Source organism: Homo sapiens, chromosome 1 (assembly GCF_000001405.40).
Source record: "Homo sapiens chromosome 1, GRCh38.p14 Primary Assembly".
Classification (NCBI taxonomy): Eukaryota; Metazoa; Chordata; class Mammalia; order Primates; family Hominidae; genus Homo; species Homo sapiens.
Genome location: NC_000001.11, coordinates 120,694,167 through 120,716,230, shown reverse-complemented (window position 1 = coordinate 120,716,230; position 22,064 = coordinate 120,694,167).

Here is a 22,064-nt window from a genome sequence, read left to right as displayed (position 1 = left end):
TCCAGTCCCATCCGTTGTTTAGATAACTGAATAAGTTATCCTCGAATCATTTATTGTAAGCCTAGTCTCTCAAGTTTACTGTGAGTCAAGGGCTAGGTCATATACCTCTTTTGTGCTCTTCTATATCGTGGCATCCAACCTCTTGCTTGTCAGCTTCCAACTCTGGTTCAACTTAAGGACTTCTTTTCCTGGCATCTGCCCCTTATATGGGAGGTGTTCATACAATTCTACTGATTGTTTTCACCTTACAACTTTTTATTTTGAAATACTCTCTTCTAAGTGTTCCTAGTAAATTTTTTAAAGCCAGCAAGGAAAAAAAATTCTATTTATTGCCAACTAATTATAAACATTAAAACATCAATTTAAAATTTAAAGGAAAAATGACCTATAATACCACCACTAATAGCATTTTCATGTGTTTTATTCATTTGTTCTTCATATGTATGTTCTTACAGAGTTGTAATCAAGACATACATATAGTTTTGTTTTGTTTTGTTTTGTTTTGTTTTTTTAAGATGGAGTCTTGCTCTGTCGCCCAGGCTGGAGTGCAGTGGTGCGATCTCGGCTCACTGCAACCCCCACCTCCCAGGTTCAAGTGACTCTCCTGCCTCAGCCTCCCTAGTAACTGGGATTACAGGCGCACGTGACTATGCCTGGCTAATTTTTGTATTTTTAGTAGAGACAGGGTTTCACCATGTTGACCAGGCTGGTCTCGAACTCCTGACCTTAGGTGATCCACCTGCCTTGGCCTCCCAAAGTGCTGGGATTACAGGCATGAGCCACCATACCTGGCCGACATACATATAGTTTTTATCCAGATTTCTTAGGCAATTCATATACCATAAATATTTTCCTTTGTTGTACATAGTTGCCATACATAGCATTGTTATTGTCTGCAAAATATTCCAGCCTTAATTAATATATAGAGCTAGAATACTTTCTATATTAGTATTGGGATCTGTATCCAGAAGTTGTCCATCTTATTTCAAAGACAGCCTTTGGGGACAATCCCTCCATACTTCTTTTATTGCCAATCACAATTGGATGAATAAGTGGACTCTTTCTTTGTCTTGAATCAGGGAGATGGATCAGCCCAAAAGAATCCCCTGCTGTTGTTCTCCAATCCCCTCCCTAGCATTTACAAGTCTTCACCTCTCTGCTGTAACCTCTTTCCTTCTTTCTGTTCCCCATTTTCTTCCCAGCAAAAGGCTTCACTTCCTACTTCACTAAAGACATCTCCTAGTTCAAATATCACCTCCCCTGCAAAACCTTCCCTAGCCCTCACCATTTCTACACTGACAGGCCATCTAAGGACTCCCTACCATCTCCCATCTCAACCTCACAACTCATCACTTATGTACCCACCTTTACTTCCTTGTGTTGTATCTCAGAAAAAAAGAGTCTTTCCTTCTTTCAATGCTAATTCTTCAGCATTGGCCATTGATTTAATTCCCTTCTGCCTTCTCCAGGACCATTTTGCATTCAATACCCACTGATTCCCACTGTCTCATCATTCATCTTTCCCTCTCTACTGGCTTAATCCCTCAGCCAACAGTTTTCTTCCAGACACACACACACACACACACACACACACACACACACACACACACACACATTTTCTATTGTATTTCTATTTCAAATTCATCTTTCACTTCCAAACCTCTTAAAACAGTGGTTTGTCCCTTGCTGTTTTTATTTCTGCAATTTATTACAGCTTCCTCTTCTTACATTTATTGAGCACTTAAGATGTAAAAACAATATGGAAATAGAGATCGATAAAGCAGTCCCTACTCCCGAAGAGCTTCTAGTTAGTAGGGAAGATAGTAAACCAAATCAACACAACAAATAAAATACATTTTATGACATAAATATGTGCACAAGTATCCATGGGGGGCTGCCTGGAGGAAATTGGAGAGACTTCCTAGGGAGGTGACATTTGAGTTAGGCCTTGAACAATGAGTTCAATATTACCAGGCAGAGACTGTACATATATTGCACATGACTGACAGGAACAATTTATGCAGATAACTGAGAAACCATATTAATGATTACTTAGGAAATATCAAATAATTCAGGTGTCATCAGAGTAAGGAACATCTGGGGAAGAGATGAAGAGTCATTTAGGCTAGTTGTTCTCAAACTTTAGCATTTATCAGAATCATCCAGAAGACTTGTAAAAATGCCAATTGCTAGGCTTCATTCCCAAAGTTTTGAAAGGGATGTGGGTTGAGCCAGATAATTTACATTTATAACATTCTCAAGTGATGCCAGTGCTGCTGATCTAGGGACCACACTTTGAGAACCACTGGCTTAGTAATCCAGCTTCTGCTTCAGTCGTTATAGTGAAATTACTTTTAGATGTCACCAAAGATCTCCAACTGTCAAATGCAATGAACTCATTCTCAGTCTTCATTTTCCTTGATGAGTTTGCAGCATTTGACATCATTGGCAATTTCAGTGAGCTCTTAACTGTCTCCCAGCTTTTAGCCTCTCTTTTAGTCCATTCAGTACTCTGAAGCCCACAGGATTGTCCAAAATACAAGTATAAACCCATCACTTCATACTTAAAACTCACCAATGGCTCCCCATTCTCTACAGTTACAGCCCAAACTGGACAGATGGCATGGAAAATCGTTGGCATTCTGACCACATTTACCTCTCCCCCTGCTGCTGCCCAGGATTGCATAGCCTTTGTTCCAGGCACATCAAGCTACCAGCCAGTCCCCAGACATGCTGGGGGCTCATGTCCTCTTCACCTTCATATGTGCACTTCCCTTTGCCTATAATGCCCTTGCTGCCTCCCCTCCCCTATCCCATCCTCCCCTGGATCCATAGTGATATAGTGGACCCATAGTGATATATGGTTTGGATGTGTGTCCCCTCCAAATCTCATGTTGAAATGTGATCCCCAATGTTGGAAGTGGGGCCCAATGGGAGGTGTTGGATCTTGAGGGCAGATCCCTCATGGATGGCTTAGCGCCATCCCCTTGGTGATAAGCAAGTTCTCACTCTTTTATTTCACAGTAGACCTGGTTGTTTACAAGGAGCCTGACACCCCCCCCCCCGTCTTGCTCCGTCTCTTGCCATATGACACACTGGCTCCCCTTTGCCTTCCAGCATGAATGTAAGCTTCCCAAGGCCCTCACCAGAAGCAGATGCCAGCACTCTGCTTCACCTACAGCCTGCAGAACTGTGAGCCAAACATACCTCTTTTTTTCTTTTTTTCTTTTTTTTCGTGACAAATTCTTGCTCTGTTTCCCAGTCTGGAGTGCCCTGGTGCAAGCTCCGCTCACTGCAACCTCTGCCTCCCAGGTTCAAACAATTCTCATCCCTCAGCCTCCTGGGTAAGTGGGATTACAGGCTTGTGCCACCACACCCAGCTAATTTTTCTATGTTTAGTAGAGACAGGCTCTTGCCATGTTGGGGAGGCTGGTCTCAAACTCCTGACCTCAAGTGATCCACCCGCTTCAGCCTCCCAAAGTTCTGGGATAATAGATGTGAGCCACCAGTCCTGGCCAAAATAAACCCCTTTTCCCCTTAAATTACCCAGTCTCAGGTATTCCTTTATAGCAATGCAAAATGGACCAACACCTATGGAATTTTGGGTGAAGGCCTAGCTCCAATGTCATCTTCTCTCCAAAGCCTTCCTCAGCTTCCTGGCTCCTTTCCCTGAGGTCCTCCACGGTTGGTTTCTATGTATTATATATACCACTTAACAACTAGTTGAACATGTGATTACTATATGGGGACTTGCTTCAGTCTCTGAATCTTACTCTGAATCTATCTTGTTATTTTTGTTATTCTCATAAAAGGCTTTCAATATAGGTGTATTGAATGAATGTTGGGAACATAGTACACATTTGATAAATAATGATTTGAATAGGCACTTGCTGCTTACCCAGTGGAACAGGCAAGCAGGCAAAGAGGAGGAGGAGGACACAAAGAGAAACTATGTTAATGAGCAAGAATCAAATGTGCCACCTCACAGCCTCCTGACTCCCTGCCTTAGAGGGTGAACCACAGGCTATTTCCCATGATTCCCTCTTCTTTGATGACACAGTGATTTGTTAGCTCTGTGGACTGGAGAGTTATGCAGCTGCCTTTCTCGCTTTCAACAAGGTACTTGCTGGAGGACTTATCCAAAGCTGAGAAGCAACACCTGTGGGGACTGGGCAGGAAACACTTTAGTAGTTTGTCTTGGTGCATGCACCACAAGCAGACAGCCATTTGCCTTCCATTTAGTTTCTGCAACTGAAGGAATACTGGGGGATTCTCTGCCGTCAGGAAGAAGAGAGCCGCCCCCCCCCACCATCCATTCTTCCTCTCTCTCTCTCTTCCTTAGTCTTACCCCTGCACATTCTGATTGTTGTGGTGACCAGATCCTGCGGAAATAAAACAGGCCTGAGTTCCTATGTGGCTGGGCTGTATCCTCCTCCTTCTCTAATAAAGCTATGACGTTAAGGAAGCCCTATCAACTGATGAGCTCAGAATGCCCATGCCTTTTGTCACCTAGCCTTTCCCCATCTCTGTGCAAATGGCTACTAGAACAGCCATTTATAAAGTGACAACTATGTGTTGGGTGTTTTGCATACATGATCTCATTAGATCCATACAACATTCCTGCAAGAAAGATATCTTTATCTCCATTTAACAAATAAAGATACTGATGCTCAAAGAAGTCAAATAACTTATCCAATGTTGACAAGCTAACAAGTGGTAGGGGTCAGATTTGAACCTATGTTGCAACCATTTTAGAGTCCTATATGTTTTCCATTATTTATATCATCTTGGAGAACTAAAAAAGGTGAAAGTTACAGAGTCAGCCAATGTCATAGCAGGAATTAAATTCAAGGTGTTCTGATTTCCAGGGCAGCTTACAAATATCCACCATATTGAAAGAACTGTTTGAATGGATATGTTTAATGTTCCAAGAATTTATGAAACTTAAAAATATATGTTGATACTACAGTTTGAAAAGGACCCAGAATTGGAAAAGCTGCTTGTTCATGAGTGTCCCTTGTCTCTACTGTCCTGTAGTCAGTGCCCCCTCAAAATTGGATGCATCTGAGTGGAGATGCTTTTCTGTCACCTAAAGTCACACATTTACCTTTGATCCAGACCCTCCCCAGAAGCAGTGCTTTTGAAATCTCTTCTCCTCTTCTTTTTGTTTGACAAAATATAAATGATAGTTTATTTCTAGAATGATGCCAAATTCAATAAAGCAATGATGGAGTTGTGTTTTGTTTTCTGGTCAAGTTGACACCATAAAGTGGGTTTTCCTGAATATTTCCCTGTTCCACTGGTGTTCTTGGCATTGTGAATAAACAGAGATGGTGATAACATCCATCATAGAGTTAAGCACATTGAGTGGGTGATAAAGTCAACAAGAAGCTGAAACAAGAATTACCACGGATAAGCTGCCAAGAGTTGGCTGTAGATTCTAAGTGGACACTGTGGCTCATTCATCTTCGCCCTTCAGCTTTCCACCCCAACATCATCCCTGCCTCAGCACTCATGACAAGAGTAGGAAAGTAGGAGAGAAGGAAAGCACAGGGATCAAGTACAGGGGACAAATACATAGCATTGATCTGCCTGAGATAAAATCTAAAGACGCAGTAGTAAATTCTTAATGAGTACTGAGAGAGAACAAAGAAAAATGTTGTGGGTTTTGTTGTTGTTGTTGTTGTTGTTGTTTTCTGAGACAGAGTCTCCCCCTGTCGCCCAGGTTGGAGTGCAGTGGAGCAATCTCGGCTCACTGCAAGCTCCGCCTCCCAGGTTCATGCCATTCTCCTGCCTCAGCCTCCCGAGTAGCTGGGACTACAGGCGCCCGTCAACACACCTGGCTAATTTTTTGTATTTTCAATAGAGGCGGGGTTTCACCATGTTAGCCAGGATGGTCTCGATCTCCTGACCTTGTGATCTGCCCACCTCGGCCTCCCAAAGTGCTGGTATTACAGGTGTGAGCCACCGCACCTGGCTGAAAAACACTTTTTAAGTCAAAATGAACCAACTAACAAACAAAAGTCATATTCCAGAAGTGCAAGTAGACACAAATGATCACTGGGCTTCTTTTAAGCAACATTCTGTTTTCTTGTCCTAACCTATCTCAAGCTAAGGAAATTCTAGGGTCTATTGTTCAAAGACTTGAAATGTTTTCCTTGGATTATTCCCACTCTTATATTTTTCTTGCCTCTTTCCAAAAGTGTGTTAAAAATGTCCAGGTTTTTTAACTCATTAAGATGCTCATCAAGCATCTTAATGAGTTAGTCACGATTACAACTGCATCTTTTAAATTACCCAAACTGTTGAAAGGCTGCCATGAAAGGAGCTTCTACAAACAAAATCTGGGCTGTATTTCTCATTATCTTATGTTGCAAAAAGTGAATGAGGAGTTACTTCCAAAACAGTAATTAGCATAAAGGCTGCTGAAGCAGAGGAGAGATAGGTGCGCTACTGTCTCAATGGAAAATGTCACTGTTTTTTCTGCAAGGAATATGTACATTACTACTAAAGGAGAAGCTCTTTGCTAACAAATGTGAAAGGGTTTCACACAGTTCATGGCACATAATAAGTGCTCATAATTTGTTTGCTTCATCGGAATTCTCTCTGTAGTCTACTTCTCAGTCAAATAACTGTGACTACCTCCATTTCCTCACAATCCATTCTCCTTATGTTCCTTCTGTTACAGGAATTGCAGCCTCATCACCTATCACAATATTTCTCAACCCTTTTCTTTTCATTATTGCCTTCCTAAGGAGGCTTTTCAGATGTTTTTAAAAATTGCTCTCCTCTATCAAATTTTGGTACCATAGTGTGATGGTTAATTTTGTGTGTCAACTTTAGCGGGCTACGGATTGCTGAGATCACTGGTAAAACATTATTTGTGGGTGTGTCTGGGAGGGTGTTCTTGGAAAAGGTTAGCATTTGAATTGGTAGAGTGAGTAAAAGATCACCCTTGGCAGTGTGAGTGGGCATCATGCAATCCCTTGAAGGCCTGAATAAAACAGAGAGGTGGAGGAAGCACAAGTTCACTCTCTCTTCTGGAGCTGGGACATCCATCTCCTCCTGCCCTTGGATATCAGTAGTGTTTCTGGTTTTGGGGCCTTTGGACTTGGACTGGGACTTACAGGATTGGCTCTCCTGGTTCTCAGGCCTTCTGGCTTGGACTGGAGTCATAATACACCACTAACTTTCCTGGGCTTCCAATTTGCAGACAGCTGATCATGGGACTTCACAGGTTCCATAATTGCATGAGCCAATCTCTCGTAATAAATCTATTTCTGTGTATCTATATATAATATATGCTATCAGTTCTGTTTCTCTGGAGAGCCCTAATACACGCAGATATATTGTGATATCAGTTTATGCATTGTATGTATATCTGCACTTTGTACATTTAAAAAATTAAGTTGTTTTTTATCCCCCAAGATCAATTCTCACTCCCATTGAGAATGTGCAACCTATCAGACCACAGCAGACTGATTCAGGACACAGCAGAAGCAGATCACAGAAATAGATGCTAGACAATTGATTTGGGCAAAAATCAGTGCAGATGTCCGGCATAGAAGTTTGTCTAGATCAGGCTTTGTAAAGGTAAAGACAGACAGTTGGCCATACAGGTTAGCCAAACAAGACACAGGTGGGAGAATACAGCTGACAGCAGTGTTGATGGAAGATAGGAGGGCAAGGTTCAAGGCAGGCAGAGATGTGAGAAATATTTGTCCACTGGGTCAGAGAATGCTTTATATAGAGAAATATCATCATCCAGAAAAGTTCCGTGAAAGAGAAATTATTCTCAGTTCTGAAGCCAGATTTAGACATTTTGCCTTTGTTCCTCAGGAGCCTGGACCACCCAGCCAACTGTGCCCTATTGATGAAAATCTCTGATTATTATAGGGGAATACATTATGTTGGCTTCTGTATTCCCTGAGAACCATCTACATCTCCTAGTACTTTGAAGTCGTGGTATCAGATGAAAGAACCAAGCCTTCCAAACTGACTTGGAGCTGTGCTGAGGTGTTCATGGCCTCAAGCATTCAAGCAGGTTGATCGGATATGAGGTGTGATATTCCTTTTCCTCAAGTCATTTATCCTCTGGAGATCCTAACCTAACCTAATCTCTCCTAACCTAAAAACAGGAGCAGACCCAGGGTCCTGACTGGGCATTCTCATTATGCTTCCTAAAACCATTAGGATCTCTTCGTGGTCACATCCAACAGCCTTTCTCTTTCTCAGGCCTGCAGCTCACTGCATGTGGTTCTGCCTCTCACATTCTCCTCTTTAATTAGAGGTCAGCCACTCTAACTCCAGCCTTCATCACACTCTGCCTCTAGGGTCTTCTGAATGCTGTCTTTGAGGGTCTTCTCAGTCTCTTCCTTCCTCTTTATCTTTTATCAAAGGCACTCTTTTAATCTTTTGGTTCCTTTCTGTTGCCCCTCCATTCTCATCTGTTTATATGTTCGCTTTAAGGTCATAAACATTATTGAGTGCTTGCTACATGCCTAGTACTGATATAAACAAGATATGGCTTTTGTGCATTCTTGTGATGGAACAGATATATATATAAAACCAAGCAAAACACAATGTGAAATATGTAATACAGATCTGTACAAAATGTCTTAGCAACTCAAAAGAGGAAGTGATGAATTCTGTCTTGAGAAAAATAAAAGGCATTGCAGAAGGAAAAAGTTTTGATTTGTGCTTTGAGAATGAATTAGGGATTTATGAAAAGAAAAGTTGGAGGAAGGGCATTACAGACAGAGAGATGAGGATGGGACAGGAACAGCATGACCAAGGAAGGTTAGAAAGGCCATGTGACTGGAGGGGAAGCAGACAAGCGTGGGCAGGGAGAGTGGTAGGCAACGACCCTGCAAAGTTAGGAATGCACCGCAACTGTAGTCACCATTTAAACCTACATGTCTAGTTAACATTCAAATGGATCATTGCACTGCCTGGGACATTCATTTTTAAAAAGTACAATTTAGCTCCTACTACTTGCTATATACCATGTAACATGCTTACTGCTGGTAATACAAAGATAAATAAGCTGTCCCCTCAAGAAATCAAAATATAATAGAGAGGTAGATGTGTTTTAAAAGTTATTATGTGCAATACAAGCCAACCCATGCAGTGAAGGTAGTATGTATATGACACAAAATAGAGAGTGATTAGCTCTGAGCAGAACATGTTTCAGAGAAAAAGTGATAGCAGAGCTTTAAGAGATTAATTGGGGTTGGGTGGTGCAGTAAGCAGAATAATGGCTTCTCAGAGATATCCACATCCCAAACTTGTAAATGTTACCGTACATGTCAATGAGGACTTTGCAGATATGACTACGTTTAAGGAAGATGGGAAGATTAGATTATTCAGACGAACCTGATGTAATCACAGGGGTCCCTATAGAAAAAGGAGGCAGGAGTGTCAGAGAAAGAGATGTGACAATGAGGGACCATCAGCCAAAACCAAAAACAAACAAAAAAAACAAAAACTGTGGTTAGAAGCTGGAAGAGGCAAAGAACAGTATCTCTCCTCCAGCTCCAGGAGGTATGAAGGTCTGCCAATGCTTTAATTTTAGCCTCATGAAATAGCCTCATTTCAGACTTCTGACCTCAAAAAGAGTAAGTTTGTGATAGTTTGTTATAGCAGCAACAGGAAATGAATACAGATGGAAAAGCAGCCAGGGTGTTGGGAGTGAGAGCATTTCAGGCAGAAGGAATAGCATAAGCAAAGGCACAGAGGCATGAAATAGCATGGCAAACCCTTGGGGCAGGGGTTACCAGTTGTTTAGTGTTGGTCTGGTTTAAGAACCACCAAGTAAGGAGCAGAAGAATGCACTGGCATGCAAAGCAAGTGCCAGATGACACAAGGCCTGGTAAGGAGCAGCCCTACCATGAAGCTTAGGTATGCTGAAGCTTAGAAGGTAAATCAGGAGCCATTTCATGGTTTCACACAAAAAAGGAAAAACACTGAATTTTCAATTTTGGAAGAAAAGCTTAATGGGGAAGAACCCAGGGCAGGGAGACCATTTAAGGAAGCTATAACAAAGTCCTGGAGGGACGTGGTGGGGCTTGAACTAAAGCAGTGTGAATAGCAGGAGAAGGCAGGGTAGCGATATTTAGGATTCAGAGAGTGACCAAATATGAGGAGCAAGAGAAAGAGAAGAGTCAAGGATGACCCCACATTTCTGATTTGGACTTTGGTGAATGTCCATGTGCTTACTGACATGGGAAAAAATGGAAGTTCCTCCCAATATTTCTTAGATTCATATTTTCTGAATCTCTGTATCCACTAGGCTAATCCACCCATCAACCTATGTCTAGACAGTCTTTAAAGTCTTCCTAGCCGCTTTTTCTGATTCTAGCCTTTACCCTTCTCAAGCTATTCTCCACGATGTTGTTAGAACAACTAATTCAATATTCATAAAATATTTATTTAGTGCCTGTCATGTTCCAGGTTCTGATATAGACTCTGTTCATATCATATGAACAAAACAATTTTAAGAATAAGTTAGCTTGCATTTAATCTAGAAGATCCTTATAGATGGTAATTTTGGGTAGTTCCATCTCCAATTCGTATCTTCTACAATGGCTTCAAATTTCCCGTCACTTTATATCTAAATTTTTTGGTGTATGCTCAAGCTCTCTTAGTGTTTAGTCATTTGGATTTGATCTTTTGCATGGCTCATAATTATTTTGTATTGGATCCCAGATATTGTATAAGACAAAATTGTAGACTCTGGATAATGTTACCTACCTCCATAGAGTTTCTACTTTCTACTCCTGGAAAGTAGAAAGAATAGTGGCAGATAACTTTGATCCTGAAAAGGCTTGGTTTCAAGCTTTGTTAGATCTATTTTATTTCAGTATTATATTGCTCTTACTCCAAGGATGTGCTGAGATCTCAACTGAAAACCCTGGGTATCTAGGTACCTTATCAAGGCTTGAAGTCCAACTTCTATTGGATGCTGAAATCTTCACTTACCTCATTAGACCCTAAACTGCTGTTTTCTGATTTTTTTTTTTTTTTTGGCATCTTTCTTTGTGCATGCTGAGTGTAGGAACTTAGATCACTATCATGATGGCAATTTGCATAGATTGTTGAGCTCCTCTGCAATTCTCCCCTCTTGGAGTTTGCCCTCAATCAGAGGCACTTTGGTAGCCCTCAACTTTGGCCTTTGATATGATTTGGCTCTGTGTTCCCACCCAAATCTCATGCTGTATTGTAATTCCCACTGCTGGGGGAGAGACCTGGTATTAGGTGATTGGATCATGGGGGCAGATTTCCCCCAGGCTATTCTCATGATAGTGAGAGTGAGTTCTCATGAGACCTGATGGTTTCAAAGTGTGTGGCACTTCCCGCCTCACTCTCTTTTTCCTGCTCCACCATGGTAAAACGTGCTTGCTTCCCCTTCACCTTCCACCATGCTTGTAAGTTTCCTGAGGCCTCCCAGTCATTCTTCCTGTTAAACCTGAAGAACTGTGAGTCAATTAAATCTCTTTTCTTCATAAATTATCCAATCTCAGGTAGTTCTTTATGGCAGTGTGAGAACAGACTAATACAGCCTCTTATTCCTCAGCCCAGAAAAACTGCTGTATTTTTTTTTTTTTGGCTTTTATTGTCTTGCACTTAGTTTTGAGCATTCCCTCAGGAGAAATATTCCAGGGTAAACACTGAGTTCACCTCATGTGCCTTCTCTCCAGGATCATAGCTTTAAGTTCCACCTGCTTTAGTTACTCTTCAATGCCTCCAAAGAATTATAGATATAGATATATAGATACTCCTAGGCTTATGATGGGGTTATATCCCAATAAACCTAAGTTGAAAATATTGTAAGTCAAAAATGCACTTAATACACCTAACCTACCAAACATCATAGCTTAACTTACCTTACCTTAAATGTGCTCAGAACACTTATGTTAGCCTACAGTTGGGCAAAATTATCTAATGCAAAGCCTATTTTACAATAAAGTGTTGATTATGTAATTTGTTGAATACTGTAGTGAAAATGAAAAATAGAGTGGTTGTATGGGTATTCAAAGTACAGTTTCTACTGAATGTTTATCACTTTCACACCATCATAAAGGCAAAAAAATTTAAGTCAAACTATTGTAAGTTGGGGACCATCCGTATATGTATAAAGTCATGTATTACTTAATGACAGGGATACATTCTGAGTAATGCATCATCAGACAATTTTATTGTTGTATGAACATTCAGAATATATTTACACAAACCTAGATGGTATAGCCTACTACACACCCAGCCTATTGCTCCTTGGCTGGAAACCTGTACAGCATGGTACTGTACTAAATATTGTGGGCAATTTTAACCTAATGGTAGGTATTTGTACATCTAAACTTGGAAAATGTATAGCAAGTCATATGCAACTGCATATGACCACCAGTTGCATATGCAGTCTGTCTTTGATCAAAACTTGGTTATGCATTGCATGACTATATATATATATATATATATATATATATACACACACACACATATAAATATATACAAATATGTAAATATTTATGTATATTTTATCCCACTTTCCCCCTGAAGTGGGAGGTTTAGTTTGATATATACTACTACATCTTGGCTGGAGTTGGAGGTCTCAGTACTTCATAGCAGTAATGAATGCTGTGGGTTTGCAGTAACTTCACTGAACTGTTTATCTGCCACAACTACAAAAGATGGCTTATTCTCTTTAAGTTATGGAGCCCTATTCCTTTTAATTTGTGTGTTAGATAAAATCTACCACGTATCTATGGGCAAAACCAAAGTCTGAATCTCTAAAATCTAAGGCCATAATCAAAACTAGGTAATTTATCAATCTAGAGTCATATAATGGGGATTCCTCTTCAGCCTGCGTTTGGATAAACTGCATGAACCCAAGAGTTTAGCCCTACCACTCAAGGCCATTGTTTTTAGTTGTGCAGGCTTCAGTGGGTAAGGTGCTATTTATGTAGGTTAAATGGTGGTTGAGTGCTCTGCAATGTGGTGGCCTTGATACCACAGGTTTTTTGTTTTTTTTTTTTCTTAGATCTGAATTCGTTTGTTGCGGGGAGAAAAACTAGGGGCAACTGATCTGGCATTGCCTACCTATGCCTGACATGAAATTCGCCAGGACCTCTGGGAGAATACCTCTAGTTAAGCAATAGGATTAGAAGCCTGATTGCAGAAAATTAGGAGGTAAAGAATGATTGGGAAGTCAGAAAGTGTGGACATCAAATGAACACAATATATTAAACAAATTGGATGTGAAGGGAAGTGAGAGATATGGTGATAGGTAGAGACGGAAGGACTTTGTTTTAAGAGTGAGGAGAGTTAAGCATGTTTGTGGGCTGGGGATGAAGCTAATGGAAAAGGAGAGGAAGAAGATACAAAACAATAAGAGATAATTAAGAATTTTCTGGTAGAGGTTGTTAGACAAAGAGCCCAGATAAGACAGATTGGACAAAGATAAGGAGAGGTAAAGATGAAGCTTAAGTTAGGAGGCTTAAAAGAAAGAATGGGCCAGGTGAGTGGCTCACGCCTGTAATCCTAGCAATTTGGGAGGCTGAGACGGGAGGATCACTTGAGGTCAGCAGTTCGAGACCAGCCTGGCCAACATGGCGAAACCCCATCTCTACTAAAAATACAAAAATTAGCCAGGCGTGGTGGCAGGTGCCTGTAATCCGAGCTGCTCAGGAGATTGAGGCAGGAGAATCGCTTGAACCCAGGAGGCAGAGCTTGCAGTAGGCCAAGATCATGCCACTGCACTCCAGCCTGCTGGGTGATAGAGTGAGAATCCGTCTCAAAAAAAAAAATCTATCTATCTATCTATCTATCTATAGAGAGAGAGAGAGAGGGAGAGAGTAAAAAAGTAGAATTAATGACTGGATGAGATGGGTAAAAGAGAAATAGGTCCCTGACAAATTCTAGGTTTGGGGATTGAGCAGCTGGGTAGATAGGGCTGGGGTTAAAACACAGAACTGAGCAACAGATTTGGAAGGATGAGCTGAGATGAATTCAGCTTTGTCTGCATTCAGTCAGTCAACAATAATAGCTGTTGCCTATGAACCTTGAGATCCACAGTGCCCAACTACAAAGACAAACATTGCTCCCCCTCCCCTGCTGAACTTATGCTATATGCAATAGTGTTGCAGAAACATTTTGCTTTGCTGGATACAAAAGCAAACTAGTCTCTGTTTTCAAGGACATATGTAGGATATAAGAACTGGATTTTCAGAATGAATATTTATGGGATAATTTATTTAACTGACCAACTTTAAAAAAAGGTTAAAACACTTTCTTGGTTTATGGTGGATACCAAGCTATATATGCTTTACTATGAGTTCATGGAAAACTGCAATCAGTCTCAACTGAAAGGAAAATGTAGGCTGTTTGGGAGAAAGTTTTTACAATTGAAAAACTCAAGGGAAAATTGAAAGGAAAAGATTTTAGGAAAGAGAAAGAAACAGGGAGAGGAAGAAAAGAGGCTAGCCAACAACCTGCAGTAGTGATTCTGAGGAACTAATAGGAGACGAAAAACTGGATAAATTATAAAAGGATGACTGATACGGGGGCGCGGGGAGGAGGATGAAACCGGGGAAAATATTGAGAGAGACAGAAAGAAAAGGAGAAACTTATCTGAGGTTGGAAATAAAGAGAAAGTGACATTGGAGCGGATAGAAAGGAAGAAACGGCGTGGGATCTGGGAATGAGGCAGTGGGTGGAGAGAGAATGGGGAGACGACAGAGGATGAAGGGCAGCTGAGTGTGTCTGCGAGAGAAGGACCAAAGCAATCTGGGCGGAGCAGGTGGCAGAGGCAGCCGCGGAGGAGGCCCAGGGAACTGACGGGGATGCTCAGCCAGGCCCAGAGGATGCGCCCTGGCAGTCCCGGAAGACACCAGGAAAACAAGCAGGAACCGTAGCTAGGACTGGGGTGGCCAGGCCCAGGAAATCCATGAAGGGGACAGACAGCGGGTCCTGCTGCCGCCGCCGATGCGACTTTGGCTGCTGCTGTCGCGCGTCCCGCCGGGCTCACTACACGTCTTACCGGTCCGGGGACGCGACGCGAACCCCTCAGTCCCCACGGCAGACCCCGAGCCGGGAAAGACGGCGCCCGGAGCCAGCCGGGAGCTGGGCAGCAGCGGCCGAGGAGGAAGAAGCAGCTGCGGCGGCCACACCCTGGATGAGGTGAGAGCATGGCCAGCTCCTGCCTCTGGAGCCCGGGAGGCTGAGGAACGCGATGGGGGTGGCAACGCACGGTGCGCTGGGCAGGAGAACCGCGCGGAGGGCTGGGGCCCCGGACTGAAGATCCCGACGCCTGAGAGGGGTTGGCGCTGAGTGACTACTGCTTGGAGAAGGGTAGGGAGGTAATGGGGCCCGTGGTGGAGGCAGGAGGAGGGACAGTGTTGAGTTGCCCAGAAATAAAGGTGTGCCCCTGGAAGGGTTAAAGCATAGGAAGCTCTATCTCGAGGTCTTTGAGACACAGACATTTGCTGTGTTGATGGAGGTGAGATTGCAGGCTGTGTCTGTTGGGTTGAGCCAAAGGAGAGATGAACACATGACTCAGAAGGCTATACCAGGATAGAAACATCAGAGATGGGCATGAAAGATGAAGGATCGGGAAGTGCACCCGGACGAAAGCACACACTGCCATCTCTTATAGCTCTTCTTTTCAGGGTTATTTCTCTTAGATACAGATCGCAGGGTGGGGTGGGTGGTGATTCCCTCTTCCTGGGCTATCTCTTTTTCCCCTGCAGAGCTGGAGCCCTGCCTGATGGCTGGATGGAGGCCATGCAGGACAAGTTCCTTCTAAAATCAATCCTTTGCTTTGGCCTGGAAGACTGAACATATTAGGCTCAATTTTCTTCGTGTAGCAGCAGTAACATAAAAATCTGTCATACATACGATTTTTGGGAGAAGAGATAGATTGTGCTGCAGGCTTTTTAGAAATAAACATGTCCTCATCACAGCATTTTTAGCTTTTTATCTCATGGAAGGTAGTACTCATAAATCAAACTACCAGGCCTAGTGATTCCAGCCTCTGAGCTAACGGGTCTGTAAAAAGTTACTTCATTTCTCTAGGCCTCAGTTTCCCATGCATAAAATTGGAATTTGGATTAAAACAGTGCTAATTATAAAACTAAATGTTCATTGGATCTGTATTCTATGTTCAGGATAGCTATATTTGTGAACTATGAAATTTAGCCTATTCACTGACAATTTTATTTTTTCATAACACTATCCACTGTTTATGTCAGAAAACAGACTCACATTCAGTTAATAGAGCTTAAATAAATCACATGTCTTCTAAGGAACCCATAAGAAATTACTGCTCCTAAGAAAGAATTAAGCAAAAAGTATTCATTGTTTGATTTTTTTATAAAGTAAAATTTTTATTGCCTTATACAAATTACTTTTATAGACATAATTACTTTTTTAAAAAAGCATATCTATGGGATGTTAATTATTTTATAAAATACTTTGAAATTTTATTTAAAGCTTAGAACAAAAAAATTAATCTGAATATGTATTTATAATTTCAAGGCTCCTTAAACACTTTACGCACACGGGGTGAATTCTTCTTATCTGGAAAGCAGCATTAATCCTGCAGAATTTAAAATGAATTATGACTCCTTATCACAAGAGTATGATTTTTCTTCCTGTCTTTGGTTAAAAAAAAGTTTGTAGGGTTAGAATTTGATCCTCTAAATTGTGGTTTAATTGTGAAAGTAGATACCAAACATTCATGGTTTCCTTAATAGTTACTCATCTGACAAACTACACCTATATTCATCTTCGTTGATGTAATGATAAGTCTTGAAATGTTTTTAAAAAATTTCACAATTCCCAAATGAAACACTTACAGCAACTTGACTGAGGTTAGTGCTACTTTGCCCTTTATTTAAAAATCAATTCCCCAGTTTAGCGTACTTTAAAAAATGTAACAACTTTAGCTATAGTGTTAGAGGTTTAATGAATGTTAGCGTATTAGAGGTTATACTTGGGGAGTGGTGTTTTTGGTACGATTTTCTAACTCTCAATCAACTAAAAAATGTAAAAAAGCAGCTTTGCACGTTATCCAAATTCAGTTCAGTTCAGTGTTACTTATTGAGCAATGATGGTGGAGGCCAGCACAAACTGGATACAAAACTACCCTCAGGTAACTCAGAATCTGTAGTTCTGTAATATGCTTCAGTAACTGGAGTATGGAGTAAGTGCTGTAACAGAAAGATGAACTGTAGACCTCTCTCTCTCTCTCTCTCTCTCTCTCTCTATCTATCTCTCCAAGGAAAGCTGACTTCCCTAACAGGCCATAGAAAGTGGCATTATCTTGGAAAATATGTTGAAATCTGGTCTTTAACTTGTTAAGTCTGTTTCTTTTCTTTTTCTTTCTTTCTTTTTTTTTTTTTTCAGAGATGGAGTCTCACTGTGTTGCCTAGGTTGGAGTGAAGTGGTGCAATCATAGCTCCCTGCAGTCTCCAACTCCTGGGCTCAAGGGATCCTCTTGCCTTGGCCTCCCAAGTAGCTGAGATCACAGTTGTGTACCATCATTTCCGGCTACTTTTAAAAAATTATTTTGTGTAGAGATGGAGTCTTGCTATGTTGCCTAGGCTGGTCTCAAACTCCCGGCTTCAAGCAATCCTACCACCCCACCCTCCCAAAGTGCTGAGACTATAGGCATGAGCCACTTCACCCAGCCAAGTCTGCTTCTTAAACTGATAAATCACAGGACTACTATATAAACCCAGAATAACAAATTACTAATTTATAATGAGAATTTTAACATCTTAGGGAACTAGACTCTCTTTTATGATCCCAGCAAAATATCTCTTGGTATATGTGCCACATTTGAGAGCCAAATTACAGCCAAAAGGTTGTTTTTGAAACTTGAATCTAGAGCAAGAGGAATTAATTAGTGGATTCTAAATTTCAAATAATTTGATAGCTTCAGAGCATCAAGGTGTACACATAGGTTCTTTTTTCCTGGACAGTAAGTGTCCACTGATGATTGTCCTCCCTTCTTAGGTACATCTCTTTTTCTATCTCTGATATGCTAATATTTTCAGTCAGATTATAATCTGGTTTGGGGATCCTTGTGACTGTTTCAAGTGTCTACATTTATTCTCTAAATCAGTTTATCTTAATTGTAAAGTTTAAATTCTAAGTGGCAAGCTTATTTTCTTTAAGAAAAAATAATGATGGGGTAGGGAGGTGGGGCTGGGGTACCATATTACAGCCCCTACATGCTGGCAATATAAACCAGGTGGTTAATGGCACCTCTCTATGGTGCTAAAAGGCAGATGAGGCCGGTCACGGTGGCTCATGCCTGTTAATCCCAGCAGTTTGGGAGGCCAAGGCCGGTGGATCACTTGAGGTCGGGAGTTTGAGATCAGTCTGGTCGACATTGTAAAACTCCATCACTAATGAAAATACAAAGAATTAGCTGGGTGTGGTGGTGCGCCTGTCATCCCAGCTACTCAGAAGGCTGAGGAAGGAGGATCACTTGAACCAGGGAGGCGGAGGTTGCAGTGAGCCGAGATTGCACCACTGCACTCCAACCTGGGTGGCAGAGTGAGACTCCATCTCAAAAAAGAAAAATTAAAAAATTTAAAAATTTAAAAAGGCAGATGATCAGAGACGGCTTTATACAGGAGGTGAATTTTTGTCTGGCTTGACAAGATAACAAAGCCAGGTTGAGTGGGAAGAAAATTTTGCCAAAAGAACACAAGCAGATTTATGACAGTGGGAAGATGCTTTATTGAAGTGAATCCCATGCTGTGATAGAAATTTTCTGTGAGGATTTAATTCAAACTCGATCCTTTTTCAAGTATATAACTATTTAAAAAGAGAAATTAAGTGAATTGTCAGCTGTTGGCCATCTGCCTCAATGTGTGCTTTTGAAGCCCAGCAGATTGCACATTCTGTGTAGGTGGATAGCTTGAAACCTGCAGACAACTGTCAGAGGACAATGACTTCAGAGAAGATTCAGTGAATTTCTAACATCAAACTTCAACTACTGTAATATGCTTGTCTAGCCATCTCTTTGTTGTTGCTGTTCTACAGCTTTATTGAGATATAACTGACATACAATAAACTGGGCAAATTTAAAGTGTGCAATTTGAAGTTTCAACGTATGTATATACCTGTGAAATCATCACCACAATCAAGATGACGAACTTATCCATGATCCCAAAAAGTTTCCTTCTGCCCTTTTTAAATTCCTCCTTCCCGCCCCTCTGCTTTTGTCATTATATATTACTTTGCATTTCCTAGAATTTCATATAAATGGAATCATACAGTATCTACTCTTTGTTGTTGTCTGGCTTCTTTCACTCAGCATAATTATTTTGAAACTTATCTATGCTGTTGTGGGTATCAGTAGCTCATTTCCTTTTGTTGCTGAGTAGTATTTCATCGTATGAATGTGCTACACGTTATTGATTCACCATTCTTTGAGTTGTTTCCAGTTTTATGGCTATTACAAATAAAGTTGCTATAATTATTTGTGCACATGTCTTTCATTTCTCTTGGGCACATTTCTCGAGGTATATAACACTAGGCACGCTTTTAAAGAAACTGCCAAATCGTTTTCCAAAAGGGTTGTACCTTTTACATTCCCACTAGCAATGTATGAAGGTTCTCATTTCTCCACATCCTTCTCAATACTTGTTACTGTACATCTTTTATATTATAGCCATTCTAGTGGGTGTGAAATCTTATTATGGTTTTTTGACTTAAATTTCCCTAATGATTAATGATATTGAGCTTTTTTTTCATGAGCTTGATTATTATCTACATATTTTTGGTAAAGTGTCTGTTGAAATATTTTGCCCATTTTCCATTGAGTTGTTTGGGTTTCACTGAGTTCATTGGGTTCATTTCATATTCTAAATGCAAGTTTTATTATATATGTTCTTTGCAAATATTTTCTCCCACTGTGCAGATTGTCTTTCCATTTTAGTAACAGTGTCTTTTGAAGACCAGACATTTTAAAATTTTGCTGTGGTAAATAAACATTATCAGTTTTTTCTTTTATGGTTCTGCTTTTAATGTCATATCTAAGAAATCATTACTTAATCCAGATTACAAAAATATTCTATTTTTTTCTAGAAGTTTTATAGTTTTGCATTTTTACATTTAGGCTTATGATCCATTTGAGTTAACTTTTGTATATTGTGATCAAGGTGTTTTTTTTTTCTTTTTTATCTTTTTTTTTTTTTTGCATGTAGATGTACAGTTGCTCTAACACTGTTTGTTAAGAGCACTATCCTTTTTCCATTTAATTGCCTTAGCACCTTTGTTCAAATCAATTGACCACATATATAATCGTCTGTATCTGGGTTTCTATTGTGTTTGACTGATTTATTTATCTGCCTTTTTTTTTTTCTTTTTCTTTTTTTGAGATGGAGTCTAACTCTGTTGCCCAGGCTGGAGTGCAGTGGCACGATCTTGGCTCACGGCAACCTTCGCCTCCTGGGTTCAAGCAATTCTACTGCCTCAGCCTCCCTTATCCATCTTTAGACTAATACCAAACTGATTTGGTTACAGTAGCTTTATACGTTTTGAAATCACGTAGTCAAATTCTTGAGCTTTGCTCTTCTTATTCAAAATTGTTTTCATTGTGTTAGGTTCTTTGAATTTCCATATACATTTCAGAATTCACTTGTAAATGTAGACAAAAAGCCAGTGGGGTATTTGATTGGGGTTACATTGAGTCTATAGATCAACTTATAGAGAATTGATATCTTAACAACATTGGGTCTTCTGATGCATGAACATGACATATTATTTCATTTATTTTGGTTAATGGTTCTCCGCTAAGGGCAATTGTGCATCACAAGGGACATTTGACAGTATCTAGACACAAACAACTAGAGCATCAGAGCCCTTTTGCTGTACCCACAGTCTTGTATTTACAGTCTATACTTCCATTCTTTCAGGAGGTTTGCTCCCAGAACTGGTGATATAAAGAAGGAAAGTAGCAGTATGAGCACTTTGAGGGCTAAGCAATGGGATAATATCTTTCTAAGGGAACAGTTAAATCAACTTCATTTGGTCTTCCATGGACATGAGTTTCAAGTGGCTTTCTGGCCTTTCTTCTGTTGGCCTCTTCGCTATTATGTGAAGACTTCATTTATACTCAATCTAATTCAGCTACCATGGGCCATATCACCAGTGCCCATTGTGTTCTATGCATCCTAATATTTTCATTAATCTGAAGGGGAGAGGGTTTTAACTTTGAAGGATACTCAAGAGGACTTTCTTATGAACTCAGATGGAAAGTGTCCTGAAATTTGTCCTTTTAAAAATATCTGTGCATTTTTTTGTGCTATGACATTCTTACATGTATCATTCTGTGATCAAATCTCCAGCTTACTATAAATGATACCTACATTCTAAAGAGCCAATTCTAGTTGTACCAGCATGGCCTTAGAGAAAAGTAAGGGAATACAATTTTTATTTATCTTCTATTTGGTTGGAGTTAAGTATTTAAAACAGTAAGGTAGATCTCAGATCCACCACCATTAAAAATAAATAAATAAATAAATAAATAAAATAGTAAAGTAGAAAGAAGAGACAAAGATCCAAACCTTTCAAAATGAAAAATGAATTTTAAATATAAGGTTATATTTTATTACCTACTGCTGAGACCATCATTGCATAAATGAATAAATAGAACTAAATAGTCCAGTCACAGTGGCTCACGCCTGTAATCCCAGCACTTTTGGAGGCCGAGGCACGCAGATCACGAGGTCAGGAGACAGAGACCATCCTGGCCAACATGGTGAAACCCTGTCTCTGTTAAAAATACAAAAGTTAGCTGGGCGTGGTGGCATGCGCCTGTAATCCCAGCTACTCGGGAGGCTGAGGCAGGAGAATCGCTTGAACCAGGGAGGCAGAGGTTGCAGTGAGCCAAGATCACACCACTGCACTCCAGCCTGGTGACACAGCGAGACTCTGTCTCAAAAAAAAAAAAAAGAACTAAATAAACTCTTCTTCCCCCACAAATTTACCAGTTTAGCCATTTTAAGTGTACAGGTCAGTAGTTGCATTAAGTACATTCACATTATTATGCA